Source organism: Homo sapiens, chromosome X (assembly GCF_000001405.40).
Source record: "Homo sapiens chromosome X, GRCh38.p14 Primary Assembly".
NCBI classification, from domain to species: domain Eukaryota; kingdom Metazoa; phylum Chordata; class Mammalia; order Primates; family Hominidae; genus Homo; species Homo sapiens.
Window position 1 is genome coordinate 100,144,044 of NC_000023.11, and position 19,475 is coordinate 100,163,518.

Here is a 19,475-nt window from a genome sequence, read left to right on the forward strand (position 1 = left end):
GGTTTGGCTCCACCCAAATCTCATCTTTAATTGTAATTCCCATAATCCCCACATGTCATGGGAGGGACCCAGTAGGAGGTAATGGAATCATGGGGGCAATTACCTCCATGCTGTTCTCATGATAGCGAGTGAGTTCTCATGAGATCTGATGGTTTTATAAGTGGCTTTCCCACTTCGCTTGGCACTTCTCCTTGCTACCACCATGTAAAGAAAGACGTGTTTGCTTCCTCTTCTGCCGTGATGGTAAGTTTCCTGAGGCCTCCCCAGCCCTGCAGAACTGTGAGTCAATTAAACCTCTTTCCTTTATAAATTACCCAGTCTTGGGTATGTCTTTATTAGCAGCATGAGAACGGAATAATGTAGTAAATTGGTACTGCAGAGAGTGGGGCACTGCTGTAAAGATACCCGAAAATGTGGAAGCAACGTTGGAAATGAGTAACAGGCAGAGGTTGGAACTGTTTGGAGGACTCAGAATTAAAAAAGGAAAATGTGGGAAAGTTTGGAACTTCCTAGAGACTTGTTGAATGACTTTGACCTAAATGCTTCATAGTGATATGGACAATGAAGTCCAGGCTGAGGTGGTCTCAGATGGAGATGGGGAACTTGCCTGGAACTAGAGTAAAGGTCACTCTTGCTATTCAAAGAGACTGGTGGCATTTTGCACATGCCCTAGAGATCTGCGGAACTTTAAAATTGAGAGAGATTATTTAGGGAATCTGGCAGAAGTATCTAAGCAGCAAAGCATTCAAGAGAAAGCAGAGCATAAAAGTTTGGAAAATTTGCAGCCTAATGATGTGATAGAAAAGAAAACTCCTTTTTTCCAGGGGGAAAGTCAAGCCAGCAGCAGAAATTTGCATAAGTCACAAGAAGCCAAATGTTAATCACCAAGACAATGAAAAAAAAATGTCTCCAAGGCATGTCAGAGACCCTCAGAGCAGCCCCTCCAATCACAGGCCCAGGGGCCTAGGAGGAAAAAATTATTTCCTGGGCTGGGTCCAGGGTCCCCTTGCTGTGTGCAGCCTTGGGACTTGGTGCCCTGAGTCCCAGCTACTCCGGCTGTAGCTAAAAAGGGCCAACTATAGCTCAGGCCATTGCTTCAGAGGGTGCAATCCCCAAGCCTTGGCAGCTTCCATGTGGTGTTGGGCCTGAGGGTGCACAGAAGTAAAGAATTGAGGTTTGGGGACATATGCCTAGATTTCAGAAGATGTATGGAATGCAGCCCCCTATAGCATCTTCACTGGGGCACTGCCTAGTGGAGCAGTAGGAAGAGGGCCACCATCCTCCAGACCCCAGAATGGTAGATCCACCGACAGCTTGCACCGTGCACCTGGAAATGCCACAGACGTTCAATGCCAGCCTATGAAAGCAGTCAGGAGGGGGACTGTACCCAGCAAAGCCACAGGGGTGGAGCTTCCAAAGTGTGTGGGGCCCACCTCTTGCATCAGCATGACCTGGATGTGAGACATGGAGTCAAAGGACATCATTTTGGGGCTTTAAGCTTTAATTACTGCCCTATTGGATTTCTGACTTGCATGGGGCCTGTAGCTCCTTTGTATAGGGCCAGTTTCTCCCATTTGGAATGGCTGTATTTACCAAATGCCTGTACCCCCATTGCATGTAGGAAGTAACTAACTTGCTTTTGATTTTACAGGCTCATAGGTGAAAGGGACTTGCCTTGTCTTAGATGAGATTTTGGACTTGGACTTTTGAGTTAATTCTGGAATGAATTAAAACTTTAAAGGACTGTTGGGAAGGCATAATTGTGTTTTGAATTATGAAGACATGAGATTTGGGAGGGACTAGCAGTGGAATAATATGGTTTGGCTGTGTCCCCAGCCAAATCTCATCTTGAACTATAGTTCCCATAATCCCCCTGTGTCATGGGAGGGACCTGGTAGGAAGTTATTGAATCATGGGGGCATGATTCACTTCCATAGAGTTCTTGTGATAGTGAGTGAGTTCTCATGAGATCTGATGATTTTACAAGGGGCTTTTCCCGTCCCTCACTCAGCACTTCTCCTTGCTGCTGCCATGTGAAGAAGGACATGTTTGTTTGCCCTTCCGCCATGATTGTAAGTTTCCTGAGGCCTCCCCAGCCCTGTGGAACTGTGAGTCAATCAAACCACTTTCCTTCATAAATTACCCAGTCTTGGGTATTTCTTCACAGCAGTGTAAGAATGGACTAATACACCAAAATAGACCCTGTTCTAGGTCATAAAACAAACGTTAACAAATTTAAAATAACTGGAATCATATAAAGTATACTATTTTACCACAATGCAATTAATCTAGATATCAATAACAAATAGACTAAAATCTCCAATCAATTCAAAATTAATACACTGCTAAATAATACACAGGTCGAGGAGGAAATATCAAGATAAATTTTAAAATATTTGAACTTAATATAAACGAAGCATAACATATCAAAATTTGTGAGATGCAGCTAAAGCAGTTCTTAAAAGAAAATTTATAGCATTAAGTACTTATATTAGAAAAGAAGGAAGATCACAAGCGAATCATCCAAGTTTCCACCTAAGAAAACTAAAAAAGGAAAAAATAAAATAAACCCTAAGCAAGAACAAAGAAAGGAGTAATGAAGATAAAAGCTAAAATCAATGAAATCCAAAAATTGCATAAACAATAGAACAAATTATCTCATAAGCTGCTTCTTTGAAAAGACTGATACAATTTATAAACCCATAGCAAGACTTATAAAGAAAAAAAGAGGGGGGCCACAAATTACCAATATGAGGAATAGAAAATATCACCACAGAATGCGCAGATATTAGGACAGTAAGAAAATATTACAAACAACTCAACATACAAAAATTTAACAACTTTGATCAGAAAGACCATCTCTTAGAAAACTGAAAATGACCAAAACTCACCCATGATAAAATAGATAGCTTGAACAGCACTATAACTATTAAAGAAATGGAATTTGTAGTAAAGAAAACAAAAAGGAAGAAATCTCTAGGTCTAGCTACCCACTTCTGGTGAATTCTAATAAGCATTTAAAGGAGAACTAATACCAGTACAGTACAGTATCTTCCACAAAATATGGTTACAGGAAACACGTCCCAACTCATTTTACAAGGCCTGCATTATCTTGATACCAAAACTAGACAGAGACACACACAAAAAATAAAACTACAGAACAATATCCCTCCTGAACACAGACACAAAAATTTTCAACAAAATATTAGCAGACTGAATCCAGCACTACATAAAAAGTACAATACATCACAACAATGTGGATTTTATCCAAGGAATACAAGCTGGCTCAATATTTGAAAAATTAACCAATGTAATCAAACATATTAGCAGTTTAAAAAAGAAAAATCACATGATAATGTTAACTGGTGCCAAAAAGAACCTATTTAATAAAATATCCATTGATAATAGAAACTCTTAGCAAATAAGAAACAAAGGAGACTCTCCTCAACTTGATAAAGGGCATTTATAAACTCCTACAGCTAATATCATATTAGATAGTGGAAAATTGAATGTTTCCCCCTAAGTTTGGAAACACTGAAAACTACAAAATCCCGCTGATATAAAGAAAGCCTCAATAAATGGAGATACTATAAATACTGAGTCCATGAGAGGATGGCACAATTTTGTTAAGACGTAAGTCCTACTGAAATAAATCTGTAGATTCAATGTAATCACAATGAAAATCCCAGCAAGTTTTTTAAAAATAGAAAGTGACAATCTGATTACACAATGTTATAGAAATTCAAAGGAATTAAGATAGTCAAAGAAATTTTGGAAAAGAACAAAACTAAAGGTTTAAACTATTTGATTATTGCATCTTTATAGTAAGTTTTAAAGAAAATTTAGTATTAAAGATTAAAAAAAGATCAATGTAACAGAATGTAGAGTGCACACATAGTCCCACACATATATAGTATTAATTTTCAACAAAGTGCCAAGTTAATTCATTGAGGAAAAAATTTTCTTTTAAATAAATTATACTGAAAAAATGGATATCTATATTTAAAAAATACTCTTGATCCTTACCTTACACCATATAAAAATTCACTTGAAATGTGTCATGTATCTATTTTTTTAATTTTTTAACTACTTTTTAAAAAAATGTGTGTATAGTAGAGACATACATATATTTATGGTGTATATGAGCCGCTTTGATCCAAGCATGTCATGTGAAATAAGCACATCATGGAGAATGGGTATCCATCCCCTCAAGCATTTATTCTTTGAGTTACAAACAATTTAATTACATTATTTAAGTTATTTAAAAATATACAATTATTATTGACTATATTCACCCTATTGTGCTATCAAATAGTAGGTCTTATTCATTCTTTCTACTGTTTTTGTACCCATTAGCCATCCCATCTCCCCCTCAATGCCTACCCAAACTCCGTTAATTATCTTTGTACTCTCTGTGTTCATGAGTTCAATTGATTTAAGTTTTAGATCCTACAAATAAGTGAGAACATGCAGTGTTTTGCCTTTCTGTGCCTGGCTTATTTCACTTAACATGACGAACTCCAGTTCCATCCATGTTGTTGCAAATGACTGGATCTAATTCTTTTTATGGCTGAATATTAACCCATTGTGTATATGCACCACATTTTCTTTATCCATTAATCTGTTGATGGACACTTAGGTTACTTACAAATCTTGGGTATTGTAAACAGTGATGCAACAAATATGGGAGTGCAGCTCTCTCTTCAAAATAGTGATTTCCTTTCTTTGGGGTATATACCCAGCAGTAGGATTGCTGGATTTATAGTAGCTCAATTTTTAGTTTCTTGAAGGGGCTCCAAACTGTTCTCCATAGTGGTTATACTGACTTTCATTCCCACTAACAGTGTACAAGGGTTCCTTTTTCTCCACATCCTCGCCAGCATTTGTCATTGCCTGTCTTTTGGATATAAGCCAAACTTATATCCCCACAACTTATATCCCCACAGGGAGGGGAAAATCACACACTGGGACCTGTCAGGGGGTAAGGGGCAAGGGAAGGGAGAATATTAGGACAAATACCTAATGCATGTGCAGCTTAAAACCTAGATGACAGGTTGAAAGGTGCAGCAAACCACCATGGCACATGTATACCTACGTAACAAACCTGTGCTTTCTTCACATGTACCCCAGGCACTTAAAGTAACATAAAAAAATTTTTTTTAACTCAAAATTGACTATTTCCAGAAAACTATAAAATACCTCAACTAAAAAGAATGCATAATGAAATTCTAATCTAATACAGGTCAAAAATGTAAAAAGTTTATGACCCTTAACAGGAAAAATAAAACAACTTTTGCTGGCCATTCCTGTTGAAATGAGAACCATAAAGTAACAGAAAAGTGGCTACAAACCCACCAAGAACACCAAACAGGGAGAAAATAAAAGTTCATTTTCATCTCTGTTATTATTATAAAATCCTGTGTGACTATAGGCCAAACTTCTGGTGGCAGAAACAGAGTTCTTTATAAACTGCAGATGTCCTGTTCATAAAAAAAAAATTCACGGGAGTTGCACTAGTTCTAAAGACTCGTCTGTTTTAGCTTACCTACTGTATGTATTCAGTCTAAGATAGATAAAGCCTCTTTCTGTAACCTTTGATTATTATTAGGCATCAAAGGTAAGAAAAGCAAGACGGGGTACAAAAATGCAAAATTTCCACAGTAATGACAATCTTTTTGTCTTAGTCCAAAAGGGTCCTGCAATCTCTCCCCTTTCAGTGATTTGACAAGTCTTTGTACTTAATCTTGGGTCAGCAAATCATGCAAGTGAAATCTGTCTCTGATATGTGAATGAATATCTTCATTCAGTTCTACAAGCTTCTCCGGGAATGAAATCAATTTTAGGAGTTCATTGTCATTTTTATCCATAAACCCACTTTCTATAGGGGTTCCATTAGAAAGGTGATATGCAAAGGTTTGTGGTGAGTTGTCAATTATTACAGTTTTTGAAAGATCTCTTGCAAGAATATTCAAGTTCTTTATATGATTTCCTTGTACACAAACACAATGTTCATGGAAAAAACGGTGCCTGACCAGTTGCTTTTTAGGGTCTACTATGTTCAGTAATGTGCCCGCATACACCTTCTTAGAAGCAGTAAAAAGAATAATCTCATACATCTAAGAAATTCATTCCAGGAATTCCCTGACAAAATGGTCTTAATATCACCTAAACCTGATAAATGACATCTTGGAAAAGGACTGGAAAAGTAAGTGCTGCCTCTTCTACCTCATTTAGACTACAGTGCACTACTGTTTCATCCAAGTGTAAATCTAGGGAGAATTTCGGTGTGCTTCTTGTTTTCAACGGAAGAACAGATTTCCTATTTAGTTGTTCTTCTGTCAGTGGTGGGACATGTTTGATGAAATAATAGGGGTCAAATACTTCCAAGCCTTCTTCATAGGTGGCCTCTGCGTGGGATGATGAATAACCACTATCTGGAATGACTGGTCCTGTAAGGGGTGGGATATCACAATTAACTGTTTCTTCTGCTTCTTCTAAACCATTGTGGTTTGTTGTTGTTGTTGCTGTTGTTGTTGTTTTGTATTTTTAAATTATACTTTAAGTTCTGGAATACATGTGCAGAATGTGCAGGTTTGTTACATAGGTATACATGTGCCATGGTGGTTTGCTGCACCCATCAACCTGCCATCTGCACTGGGTATTCCTCCTAATGCTAGCCCTCCCCTAGCCCCCCATCCCGTGACAGGCCCTGGTGTGTGATGTTTCCCTCCCTGTGTCCTTGTGTTCTCATTGTTCAACTTCCACTTATGAGTGAGAACATGTGGTGTTTGCTAAACCAGTATTTATTGATGGTCTCACCCGAACTGCTTGATTTGAGTAAGCTGCTCCATTAGTTGATGTAGTAGAACGGGTAGTGATCTCATCCACCCGTTCCATATTAAGTTGTTTTACTATTTCTTCAGCTCCAACAGAGTAGTCCTTGGAGGACTGCCAGAGGAAGGATTATTTTCTAATTTTCCATTTTATTTTACATGTTGATTTGTCATTTCATAACTACCAGTTTCTCAATTTACTTGACTTTTCTGTCTTACTCAAGATATCTATTTGTTAGGTTTCTCTCCTGCTCTTGGTGTTGACGTGATCAAATTATTATCTATATCACGTTCAATTATACTCCATTTTGAAGGATTTTCTCTCTCTTCCTTAGGTGTGCTTCCTTTAATGAATTTTTTAATTGAAGACCAGCCAGTTTCATTCTTTGGTGGTTTTTCTCCTCCTGAAGGCAGGCTATCATCAACCTATGAATATTTCCTCTTTGCTCTGGCAGTGAGTTGTGTTTACTGCTGAGAAGCTTTCCATGTTCTCAGCCTCATCTTTTATGGGTGCCACATATAAAACTGACTGTGATGACAGAGAAGTGTCCTCAGGCTCCTGTAACGGTCTCGACTGGACAATACATGGTGTCTTTCCCACTTGCTCTGCAGCAGCAACAGAACCAGCTCCTCCAGCCAGTTGCCATTTCCTGCCTACCTGAAAATGATCTTATTTCTCCTTTGCTTATGAAGCTTAGTTTGGGTGGATATGAAATTCTGGGCTGGAAATTCTTTTCTTTAAGAATGTTGAATATTGGCCCCCAATCTCTTCTGGCCTGCAAGATTTCTGCTGAGAGGTCTGCTGTTAGTCTGATGGGCTTCCCTTTGTAGGTGACATAGCCTTTCTCTCTGGCTGCCCTTAACATTTTTCTTTCATTTTGACCTTGGAGAATCTGATGGCTATGCCTTTTGGGAATAATATTCTTATGGGGTATCTTACTGGGGTTCTCTTCATTTTCTGAGTTTTGACGTTGGCCTGTCTAGGTTGGGGAAGTTCTCCTGGATGATATTTTAAAATGTGTTTTCCAATGGTTCGACTCTCCTTGTTTTTTTCAGGTGCCCCAGTGAGTCACAGATTTGGTCTCTTTACATAATTCCATATTTCTTGGATTTTTTTTCATTCCTTTTATTCTTTTTTTCTCTATTCTTGTCTGTCTTATTTTAGAAAGACAGCTTTCAAGCTCTTGAGATTCTTTCCTCCGCTTGGTCTATTCTGTTATTAATACTTGTGATTGCATTGTGAAGTTCTTGTAATGTGCTTTTCAGCTCTATCAGGCCAGTTACATTCCTCTCTATACTGGCAATTTGGGCTGTCAGCTCCTGCATTGTTTTATCATGATTCTTAGGTTCTTTGCATTGGGTTAAAACGTGCTCCTTTAGCTCAGTGAACATCATTTTTATCCACATTCTGAAGACTAATTATGTGACTTCAGTCATCTCAGCCTCAGCCCATTTCTGAACCCTTGCTAGAGAGGTGTTGTGGTCATTTGGAGCAGAGGGCACTCTGGCTTTTTGAGTTTTCAGCATTTCTGTGCTGACTCTTTCTCATCTTTGTAGGTTTATCTACCTTAGATCTTTGAGATTGCTGACCTTTGGATGGGGTTTTTGTATTTTTTATTGTTGTTATTGTTGTTGTTTGTTTGTTTTTCTTTTAACAGTTAAGCCATACTTCCGTAGAGCTGCTGCAGTTTGCTGGGGGTCCATTCCAGACCCTAGTCACCTCGGTTTTTCCAGTACCTGAAGGTATCACCAGTGAAGGCTGCAGAACAGCAAGGATTACAGCCAGTCCCTTTTTCTGGAAGCTCTGTCCCACGGGGGTACTTACTTGTTTCCGGCCTGAACATGCCTGTAGGAGGTAGCTGAAGACTCCAGTTGGGAGGTCTCACCCAGTTCAGGAGGAATGAGATCAGGGACCCACTTAAAGGAGCAATCTGGCTGCATATTGGTAGAGCAGCTGTGCCGTGTTGAGGATCCCTTCAGCTCCCTATCAGTTTGGACTCTCCAAGGGCCTCATGCTGGACTGGCTGAGAAGCCCATCAGCAAAGGTGGCAGGCTGCCCCACCCCCAGGCACCCTGTCCCAGGGAAAAATTAGAACTCTGTCAGCCACAGAACACAGGTGGGGGTGGACAGAGGCCCAGACTGGGAGGACCCACCCCACGAGGAGTGGATTGGGGTCCCATTTGAAGAAACAGTCTGGCCACACCTCGTCAAAACATCCATGCCATGCTGGGAAGCCACATCTGCCCCATCCGCATGGACTCTCAAAACCCCACAAGATTGAACAGTTGAGTCATCTAAACAACCAAGATGGCAGCCTGCCACTCCCTCTGGGCACTCCTTCCCACGGAGAAATCAGAGCTCTGTTCATAGAATATGGGTGGGCAGCGGTGGCCGGAAGCCCCAGCTGGGAGGTCCTGCCCAATGAGGAGGAATGGATTGAGGTCCCACCTAAAGAAGCAGTCTGGCCATGCCTCAACAAAACAGCCATGCCATGCTAGGGAACCACCTCTTCCCTGGTCAGCTTGGACTCTTCAAAGCCTACAGGCTGGGACTGCTGAGTCACCCAAACAACCAAGGTGGTGGCTCACCCCTCCCTCTGGAAACTCCATTCCAGGGAGAGATCAGAGCTCGTCCATAGAATATGGGTGGGTGGAGATGGCTGGAGGCCCCAGCTGGGAGGTCCAAGTTAGTGAGGAGGAATGGATCATGGTCCCACTTAAAGAAGCAGTCTGGCCACATTCTGGAAAAGCAGGTGTTCTGCACTGGGAGCAGGGAACCTTCCTTGTCCAAACCATTTGGACTGTCCAAACCATTTGGACTGTCCAAAGCCCACAGGCAGGAACAGTTGAGTTGACCAAACAGCAAAGATGGTGGCCTGCCCATCCCCACAGGGGCTTCATCTTGTCTCAGGCAGACTCCACCCTGTTGCTGGTGAATGGATATAATTCCAAGCCAGTGGGTCTTATCTTGTGAAGTGCCATGGAAGTGGGGCCCATAGACCAATGCTGCTCAGCCTCTGGATTCAGCCTTCTTCCTAGGGGTATGTATGAACCTCTCACCTTCCTGGGGATCCTGGGTCTGCAGTATGTAATGCTCCTGGGTCTCTGTGCATGTCTGAGCAGATGCTCTGCTGAGACTCCACACAGCTCTTTGTGTTGAACCCAAGGCTCTGGTTGTGTGGGCTCACAAGGGGATCTCCTGGTCCAAGGGTTGCAAAGATCTGTAGGAGAAGCTTGGTTTCCCAGGGTCATACATTCACTCACTGCTTCCCTTGGCTCCATGTCACTTCCAGGTGGGCCATCACCACACCCTGCTTTTCTTTATTCTCCTTGGGTAAAGTTGTTTTCCTGATCAGTCCCAATGGGAATAACTGGATATTTCAGTTGAAGGTGCTATATTCACTCTCCCTTTTAGTTCTCCGTGAATGCCATGCACCGCAGATGCTTCTACTTGGCCATCTTAACCAACCAGCGCTAGTAATTTTTGTGTGTTGATTTTGTATCCTGCAACTTTACTGAATTTGCTTATTAGTTCTGAGTTTTCTTGTGGAGTCTTTAGGTTTTTCCAAGTATAAAATCATATGATCTACAAACAAGAATAATTTGACTTCTTTCTTTCCAATGTGAATGCCCTTTATATCTTTCTCTTGTCTGATTGCTCTATCTAGGGCTTCTAGTACTATGTTGAAGAACAGTGGTGACAGCGGGCATCCTTGTCCTGTTCTCAATCTTAGAGGAAAGTTTTTCAGTTTTTCCCTATTCAGTATGCTACTAGCTGTGGGTCTGTCATATATGGCTTTTATTATGTTGAGGTATGTTCCTTCTATCCCCAGGTTTTTAGTGTTTTTGTCATTAAGAGATGTTGAATTTTATCAATGCTTTTCCAGCATCAATTGAAATGATCATACGGTTTCTATCCTTCATTCTGTTAATATGATGTATTACATTGATTGGAGTATGTTGAACCAAACTTGCAACCCTAGGATAAACCCAACTTGGTCATGAGGAATGATCTTTCATTGTTGAATTGGTATTGTGGAATTTGGTTCACTAGTATTTTGTTAAGGATTTTTGCATGAATTTTCATTAGGGATATTGGCCTATAGTTTTCTTTTTATCATGTGTCTGTGTCTGGTTTTGGTATAAGGGTAATACTGACCTCATAGAGGGAGTTTGGAAGTGTCCCCCTCCTTTTCTATTTTTGGCATAGTTTGAGTAGGATTGATATTAGTTTTTTAAATGTTTGGTAGAATACAGCAGCTAAGCCATTAGGTCCCAGGATTTCCTTGGATGGAAGACTTTATTATGGCTTCAAACTCATTACTCGTTACTGGCCTGTTCAGGTCTTGGAGTTCTTCCTGTTTCAATCTCAGTAGGTTGTGTGTATCCAGCAATTTGTCAATTTCCTCCAGATTTTCCCATTTATTGGCATATACAGTTCCTCATAGTAGCCAGTAATGATCCTTAGAATTTCTGCAGTATCAGTTTAATATCACCTTTTTCATTTCTGAATTTATTTATTTGGATCTTCTCTTTTTATTCCTTAGTATGGTTAAAGGTCTATCAGTTTTATTTTTCAAGAAAGCAACTTTTTGTTTTATTAATCTTTTGTATTGTTTTCTTCGTTTCAGTTTTATTTATTTCTGCTCTGATCTTTTTTTTTATTGTTATTATACTTTAAGTTCTGGAATACATGCACAGAATGTGCTGGTTTGTTACATAGGTATACATGTGCCATGGCGGTTTGCTGCATCCATCAATCCGTCATCTAGGTTTTAAGCCCCGCATGCATTAGATATTTCTCCTAATGCTCTCCTTCCCCTTGCCCCCCACCCCCCGACAGGCCCTGGTGTGTGATGTTCCCTTCCCTGTGTCCATGTGTTCTAATTGTTTAGCTCCCACTTACGAGTGAGAACATGAGGTGTTTGGGTTTTTTTTTAAGAAACTGATGTTTATTTTCCATCAACCATTTTTCCATGTTGCTTAAGAGCCCATGCAAGAACAGCTTAAGACCATTCAGTGGTTGCTCCTACCCGTTCAGTGGCCTGAGCAGTGGGAGCTGCAGACCAGTCTTCCGTGGCAGGCTGAGCGCTCCAGTCTTCAACAGGGAACTGCTGAATAGGCACAGAGGGCACCCGCACACCTTCAGACCAGTCTGCAACCTCAAGCTGAGTAGCAGTGAACTCAGGAGCTGGAGCAGTCCATTCACCCTGAAATTCCTCCTTGGTCATTACCTTTTCAGCAGCAGCCTGCTCTTCTTTTTCAATCTCTTCAGGATCCCTGTAGAAGTAGAGATCAGGCATGACCTCCCATGGGTGTTCATGGGAAATGGTGCCACGCATGCGCAGAACTTCCCGAGCCAGCATCCACCACATCAAACCCACTGAGTGAGCTCCCTTGTTGTTGCATGGGATGGCAATGTCCACATAGCACAGAGGAGAATCTGTGTTACACAGAGCAATGGTAGGTAGGTTAACAGAAGATGCCTCCATGAGAGGCTGGTGGTCAGCCCTGGGGTCAGTAACCACAAGAAGCCGTGGGTCCCAGAAGGCTGCCTGGATCTGGTTAGCGACGGACAGTTCCAGGAGTGAAGCAGCCAGCAATTGGAGTGGCTCCAGTGGCAGCAGCAAACTTCAGCACGGCCCTCTGGCCAGTATTCCTGGAAGATATAACACTGACATCAGCAGGGTTTTCAATGGCAACAATGGCACGAGCTGCCAGCAGAAGCTTCTCCCAGGTCCGCTTCAGATTTATGATGTAGATGCCATCACTTTTCCTTTTATAGATGTACTGTTCCATCTGGAAGTCAAGATTGGTGCCACCTAAATAGGTTCCTGCTGCAAGGAACTTAAGGACATCCTCCTCCTTCATTTGCAGGATATCAAGCGCTCCGGACATTGCGAAAGTTTCCCTTTAAGTTACGATGGGAATCCAGAACAACGCCATATGGACCCCTCTGTAGGTAGCGCAGAAAGCGGTGTTTGGTTTTCTGTTCCTGTGTTAGTTTGTTGAGAATGAGGGTTTCCAGCTTCATCCATGTCCCTGTAAAGGACATGAACTCATTCTTTTTTATGGCTGCATAGGATTCCATGGTATATATATGCCACATTTTCTTTATCCAGTCTATCATTGATGGGCATTTGGGTTGGTTCCAAGTCTTTGCTATTGTGAATAGTGCTGCAATAAGCATATGTGTGCATGTGTCTTTATAGAAGAAAGTTTTATAATTCTTTGGGTATATACCCAGTAATGGGATTGCTGGGTCAAATGATATTTCTGGTTCTAGATCCTTGAGGAATCACCACACTGTCTTCCACAATAGTTGAACTAATTTACACTCCCACCAACAGTGTAAAAGCATTTCTATTTCTCCACATCCTCTCCAGCATCTGCTGTTTCCTGACTTTTTAATGATCGCCATTCTAACTGGCATGAGATGGTATCTCATTGTGGTTTTGATTTGCATTTCTTTAATGACCAGTGATGATGAGCTTTTTTTATATGTTTGCTGGCTGCATAAATGTCTTATTTTGAGAAGTGTCTGTTCATGTCCTTCACCCACATTTTGATGGTCTTTTTTCTAGTATATTCGTTTAAGTTCCTTGTAGATTCTGGATATTAGACCTTTGTCAGACGGGTAGATTGCAAAATTTTTCTCCCATTCTGTAGGTTGCCTGTTCACTCTGATGATACTTTCTTTTGCTGTGCAGAAGCTCTTTAGTTTAATTAGATCCCTGTTGTCAATTTTCCTTTTGTTGCAGTTGCTTTTGGTGTTTTAGTCATGAAGTATTTGACCATGCCTATGTACTGAATGGTATTGCATAGGTTTTCTTCCAGGGTGTTTGTGATTTTAGGTTATACATTTAAGTCTTTAATCCACCTTGACTTAATTTTTGTATAAGGTGTAAGGAAGGGGTCCAGTTTCTGTTTTCTGCATGTGGCTAGCCAGTTTTCCCAGCACCATTTATTAAATAGAAATTCCTTTCCCAATTGCTTGTTTTTGTCAGATTTCTTGAAGATCAGATGGTTGTAGATGTGTGGCATTATTTCTGAGGCCTCTGTTATGTACCATTGGTATATATATCTGTTTCAATACCAGTACCATGCTGTTTTGGTTACTGTAGCCTTGTAGTATAGTTTGAAGTCAGGTAGCATGAGGCCTCCAGCTTTGTTCTTTTTGCTTAGGATTGTCTTGGCTGTACAGGTTCTTTTTTGCTTCCATTTGAAATTTAGAGTAGCTTTTTCTAGTTCTGTTGAGAAACTCAATGGTAGCTTGATGGGAATAGCACTGAATCTATAAATTACTTTGGGCAGTATGGCCATTTTCACAATATTGATTCTTCCTATCCATGAGCATGGAATGTTTTTCCATTTGTTTGTGTCCTCCTTTATTTCCTTGAACAGTGATTTGTAGTTCTCCTTGAAGAGGTTCTTCACCTCCCTTTTAAGTTGTATTCCTAGGTATTTTATTCTCTTTGTAGTAATTGTGAATGGGAGTTCACTCATGATTTGGCTCTCTATTATTGGTGTATAGGAATGCTTGTGATTTTTGCACATTGATTTTGTATCCTGAAGTTGCTTATTAGCTGAAGTTGCTTATCAGCTTAAGGAGATTTTGGGCTGAGACAATGGGGTTTTCTAAATATACAATCATGTCATCTGCAAACAGAGACAATTTGACTTCCTCTCTTCCTATTTGAATATGCTTTATTTCTTTCTCTTGCCTTATTGCCCTGGCCAGAACTTCCAATACTGTGTTGAATAGGAGTGGTGAGAGAGAGGACATCCTTGTCTTGTGCTGGTTTTCAAAGGGAATGCTTTCAGCTTTTGCCCATTCAGCATGATATTGGCTATGGGTTTGTCATAAATAGCTTTTACTATTTTGAGATATGTTCCATCAATACCTAGTTTATTGAGAGTTTTTAGCATGAAGCCATGTTGAATTTTATCAAAGGCTTTTTCTGCATCTATTGAGATAATCAGGTGGTTTTGATCATTGGTTCTGTTTATGTTGTGGTTTATGTTTATTGATTTCTATATGTTGAACTAGCTTTGCATCCCAGGGATTATGCTGACTTGATCATGGTGGATAAGCTTTTTGATGTGCTGCTGGATTCAGTTTGCCAGTATTTTATTGAGGTTTTCCACGTTGATGTTCATCAGGCATATTGTTCTGAAATTTTGTTGTTGTTGTTGTTGTGTCTCTACCAGGTTTTGGTATCAGGATGATGCTGGACTCATAAAATGAGTTAGGAAGAAGTCCCTCTTTTTCTATTGTTTTGAATAGTTTCAGAAGGAATGTACCTCTGGTAGAATTCATCTGTGAATCTGTCTGGTCCTGGACTTTTTTCGGTTGGTAGGCTATTAATTACTGCCTGAATTTCAGAACTTGTTTTTGGTCTATTCAGGGATTCAATTTCTTCCTGATTCAGTCTTGAAAGGGTGTATGTGTCCAGGAATTGATCCATTTCTTCTAGATTTTCTAGTTTATTTGTATAGAGTTGTTTATAGTATTCTCTGATGGTAGTTTGTATTTCTGTGTGATCAGTGGTGATATCTTATCATTTTTTATTGTGTCTACTTGATTCTTCTCTCTTTTCTTCTTTATTAGTCTGGCTAGTGGTCTATCTATTTTGTTAATCTTTTCAAAAAACCAGCTCCTGGATTTGTGAATTTTTTGAAGGGATTTTCTTGTCTCTATCACCCTTAGCTCTGCCCTGATCTTAGTTATTTCTTGTCTTCTGCTAGCTTTTGAATTTGTTTGCTCTTGCTTCTCTAGATCTTTTAACTGGGATGTCAGGGTGTCAACTTTAGATCTTTCCTGCTTCTTGATGTGGGCATTTAGTGCTATAAATTTCCCTCTTAACACTCCTTTAGCTGTTTCCCACACATTCTGGTACATTGTCTCTTTGTTCTCATTGGTTCCAAAGAACTTGTTTACTTCGGCCTTATTTTCATTATTTACCCAGTAGTCATTAAGGAGTACGTTGTTCAGTTTCTATATAGTTGTGCAGTTTTGAGTGAGCTTCTTAATCCTGAGTTCTAATTTGATTGCACTGTGTTCTGAGAGACTGTTTGTTATGATTTCCATTGTTTTGCATTTGCTGAGGAGTGTTTTACTTCCAACTACGTGGTTGATTTTAGAATAAGTACTATGTGGCACTGAAAAGAATGTGCATTCCCTTGATTTGGGTTAGAGAGTTCTGTAGATGTCTATTAGGGCTGCTTGTTCCAGAGCTGAGTTCAATTCTTGAATATCCTTGTTAATTTTCTGTCTTATTGATCTGTCTAATACTGACAGTGGGGTGTTAAAGTCTCCCACTATTATTATGTATGAGTTTAAGTCTCTTTGTAGGTCTCTGAGAACTTGCTTTTTGAACCTGGGTGCTCCTGAATTGGGCACATATATATTTAGGATAGTTACTTCTTTTTGTTGCATTGATTCCTCTACCATTATGTAATTCCTTGCTTTGTCTTTTCTGATTTTTGTTGGTTTAAAGTCTATTTTATCAGAGACTAGAATTGCAACCCCTGCCCTTTTCTGCTTTCCCATTGCTTGGAAAATAGTCCTCCATTCCTTTATTTTGAGCCTATGTGTGTCTTTGCATGTGAAATGGGTCTCCTGAACACAGCAAACTGATGGGTCTTGACTCTTTATCCAATTTGCCAGTCTGTATCTTCTAATTGGGGCATTTAGCCCATTTACATTTAAGGTTAATATTGTTATGTGTGAATTTGATTCTGTCCTCATGATGCTAGCTGGTTATTTTGCACATTAGTTGATGTAGTTTCTTCATAGTGTGATAGGTCTTTATATTTTGGTGTGTTTTTGCAGTGGCTGATATCGGGTTTTCCTTTCCATGTTTCGTGCTTCCTTCAGGAGCTCTTGTAAGGCAGTCCTGGTGGTGACAAACTCCATCAACATTTGCTAGTCTGGAAAGGATTTTATTTCTTCTTTGCTTATGAAGCTTAGTTTGGCTGGATATGAAATTGTGGGTTGAAAATTCTTTTCTTTAAGCATATTGAATATTGGCTTCCACACTCTTTTGGCATTTAGGGTTTCTTCAGAGAGATCCCCTGTTAGTCTGATAAGCTTCCCTTTGTAGGTAACCTGACCTTTCTGTCTGGCTGCCCTTAACATTTTTTCCTGTGTTTCAACCTTGGAGAATCTGACAATTATGTGTCTTGGGGTTGCTCTTCTCGAAGAGTATCTTAGTGGTGTTCTCTGTATTTCCTGAATTTGAATGTTGGCCTGTCTTGCTAGGTTGGGGAAGTTCTCCTGGATAATATCCTGAAGTGTGTTTTCCAACTTGGTTCCATTCTCCTTGTCACTTTCAGGTACATCATCAATCATAGGTTTGGTCTTTTCACATAGTACCATATTTCTTGGAGGCTTACTTCATTCCTTTTCATTCTTTTTTTCCCTAATCTTGTTTTCATGCTTTATTTCAGTAAGTTGATCTTCAACCTCTGATATTCTTTCTTCCACTTGATCGATTTGGCTATTGATACTTGTGTATGCTTCACGAAGTTCTCATGCTGTGTTTTTTCAGTTCCATCAGGTCATTTATGTTCTTCTCTAAACTGGTTATTTTAGTTATCAGTTCCTGTAACCTTTTATCAAGGTTCTTAGCTTCCTTGCATTGGGTTAGAGCATGCTCCTTTAGCTCAGAAGAGTTTGTTATTACCCACCTTCTGAAGCCGACTTCTGTCAATTTGTCAAACTCATTCTGCGTCCAGTTTTGTGCCCTTGTTGGAGAGAAGTTGCAGTCATTTGGAGGACAAGAGGCATTCTGGGTTTTTTTTTTTTTAATTTTCAGCATTTTTTGCACTGGTTTTTCCTCATCTTCGTGGATTTACCTACCTTTGATCTTTGATACTGATGGCCTTTGGATGGGGTTTGTGAGAGGGCATCCTTTTTGTTGCTGTTGATGTCATTGCTTTGTTTGTTAGTTTTCCTTCTAACAGTCAGGCCCCTCTTCTGCACGTCTGCTGGATTTTGCTGGAAGTCCACTCCAGACCCTGTTTGTCTGGGTATCACCAGCAGAGGCTATAGAACAGCAAAGATTGCTGCCTGCTCCTTCCTCTGGAAGCGTCATCCCAGAGGGGTACCTGTCTGATGGCAGATGGAGCTCTCCTGTGTGAGGTGTCTGTTGACCTCTCCTGGGAGGTGTCTCCCAGTCAGGAGGCACAGGGGTCAGGGACCCACTTAAGGAGGCAGTCTGTCCCTTAGCAGAGCTTGAGCACTGGGCTGGGAGATCTGATGGTCTTCAGAACCAGCAGGTAAGAATGTTTTAAGTCTGCTGAAGCTGCACCCACAGCCTCCCCTTCCCCCAGGTGCTCTGTCCCAGGGAAATGGGAATTTTCTCTATAGGTCCTTGACTGGGGCTGCTGCCTTTCTTTCAGAGATATTATTCCCAGTGAGGAGGAATCTAGAGAGGCAGTCTGGCCACAGCCTCTTTGCCATGCTGTGGTACGTTCAGCTTCCTTAACACTGTGAGGGGAAAACCACCTACTCAAGCCTCAGTAATGGCAGAACCCCCTCCCCCTACCAAACTTGATCATCCCAGGCTGACTTCAGACTGCCGTACTGGCAGAGAGAATTTAAAGCCAGTGGTTCTTAGCTAGCTGGGCTCCATGGGAGTGGAACCCACTGAGTTAGACCACTTGGCTCCCTGGCTTCAGCCCCCTTTCCAGGGGAGTAAACGGTTCTGTCTCACTGGGGTTCCAGGTGCCACTGGGGTATGAAAAAGAAACTCCTCCAGCTATCTCAGTGTCTGCCTGAACAGCTACCTCGTTTTGTGCTTGAAACCCAGAGCCCTGGTGGTGTAGGCACACAAGGGAGTCTCCTGGTCTGTGGGTTGCAAAAACCATGGGAAAAGCATAGTACCTGGGCCAGACAGCACAGTCCATCATGGCTCCCCTTGGCTAGGGGAGGGAGTTCCCTGGCCCTTTGCACTTCTAGGGTGAGGTGATGCCCCACCCCGCTTCTGCTTGCCCTCCGTGGGCTGCACCCACTGTCTAACCAGTCTGAATGAGATGAGCTGGGTACCTCATTTGGAAATGCAGAAATTACCCACCTTCTGCATTAGTCTCACTGGGAGCTGCAGATCGGAGCTGTTCCTATTTGGCCATCTTGCTAGACTCCCCTGCTCTGATCTTTATTATTTCTTTTCTACTAATTTTGTGTTTGGTTTGCTCTTGCTTTTCTAGTTCTTTAACGTGCATCATTTTTGTTCATTTGAAGTTTTTTCTCATTTTTGATGTAGGCATTTATAGCTATAACCTTCCTTCTTCCTACTGCTTTTGCTGTATCCCACAGGTTTTGGTATGTTGTGTTTCCATTATCATTTGTTTCAAAAAATTTTTCTGTTTTTCTTAATTTCTTCATTGACCCACTGATCATTCAGGAGCATATTGTTTAATTTCCATGTATTTTCACAGTTTCCAAAATTCTTCTTGTTATTAATTTCTGGTTTTATTCTATTGTGGTCAGAGGACATGTTTGATATTATTTCAATTTTTTGAATGTTTCAGAACTTGTTTTGTGACATAGCGTATGGTCTATCCTTGAGAATAATCCATGTGTTGAGGAAAAGAATGTATATTCTGTAGCTCTTGGATGAAATGTTCTGTAAATAT

At 40.7% G+C, this 19,475-nt stretch overlaps 2 pseudogenes; both read right to left on the reverse strand.

Annotated features, from left to right (window-relative positions):
• CTDSPL2P1 (CTDSPL2 pseudogene 1) lies at positions 5,543–7,492 on the reverse strand (annotated as a pseudogene).
• Positions 11,770–12,807, reverse strand: RPSAP8 (ribosomal protein SA pseudogene 8; annotated as a pseudogene).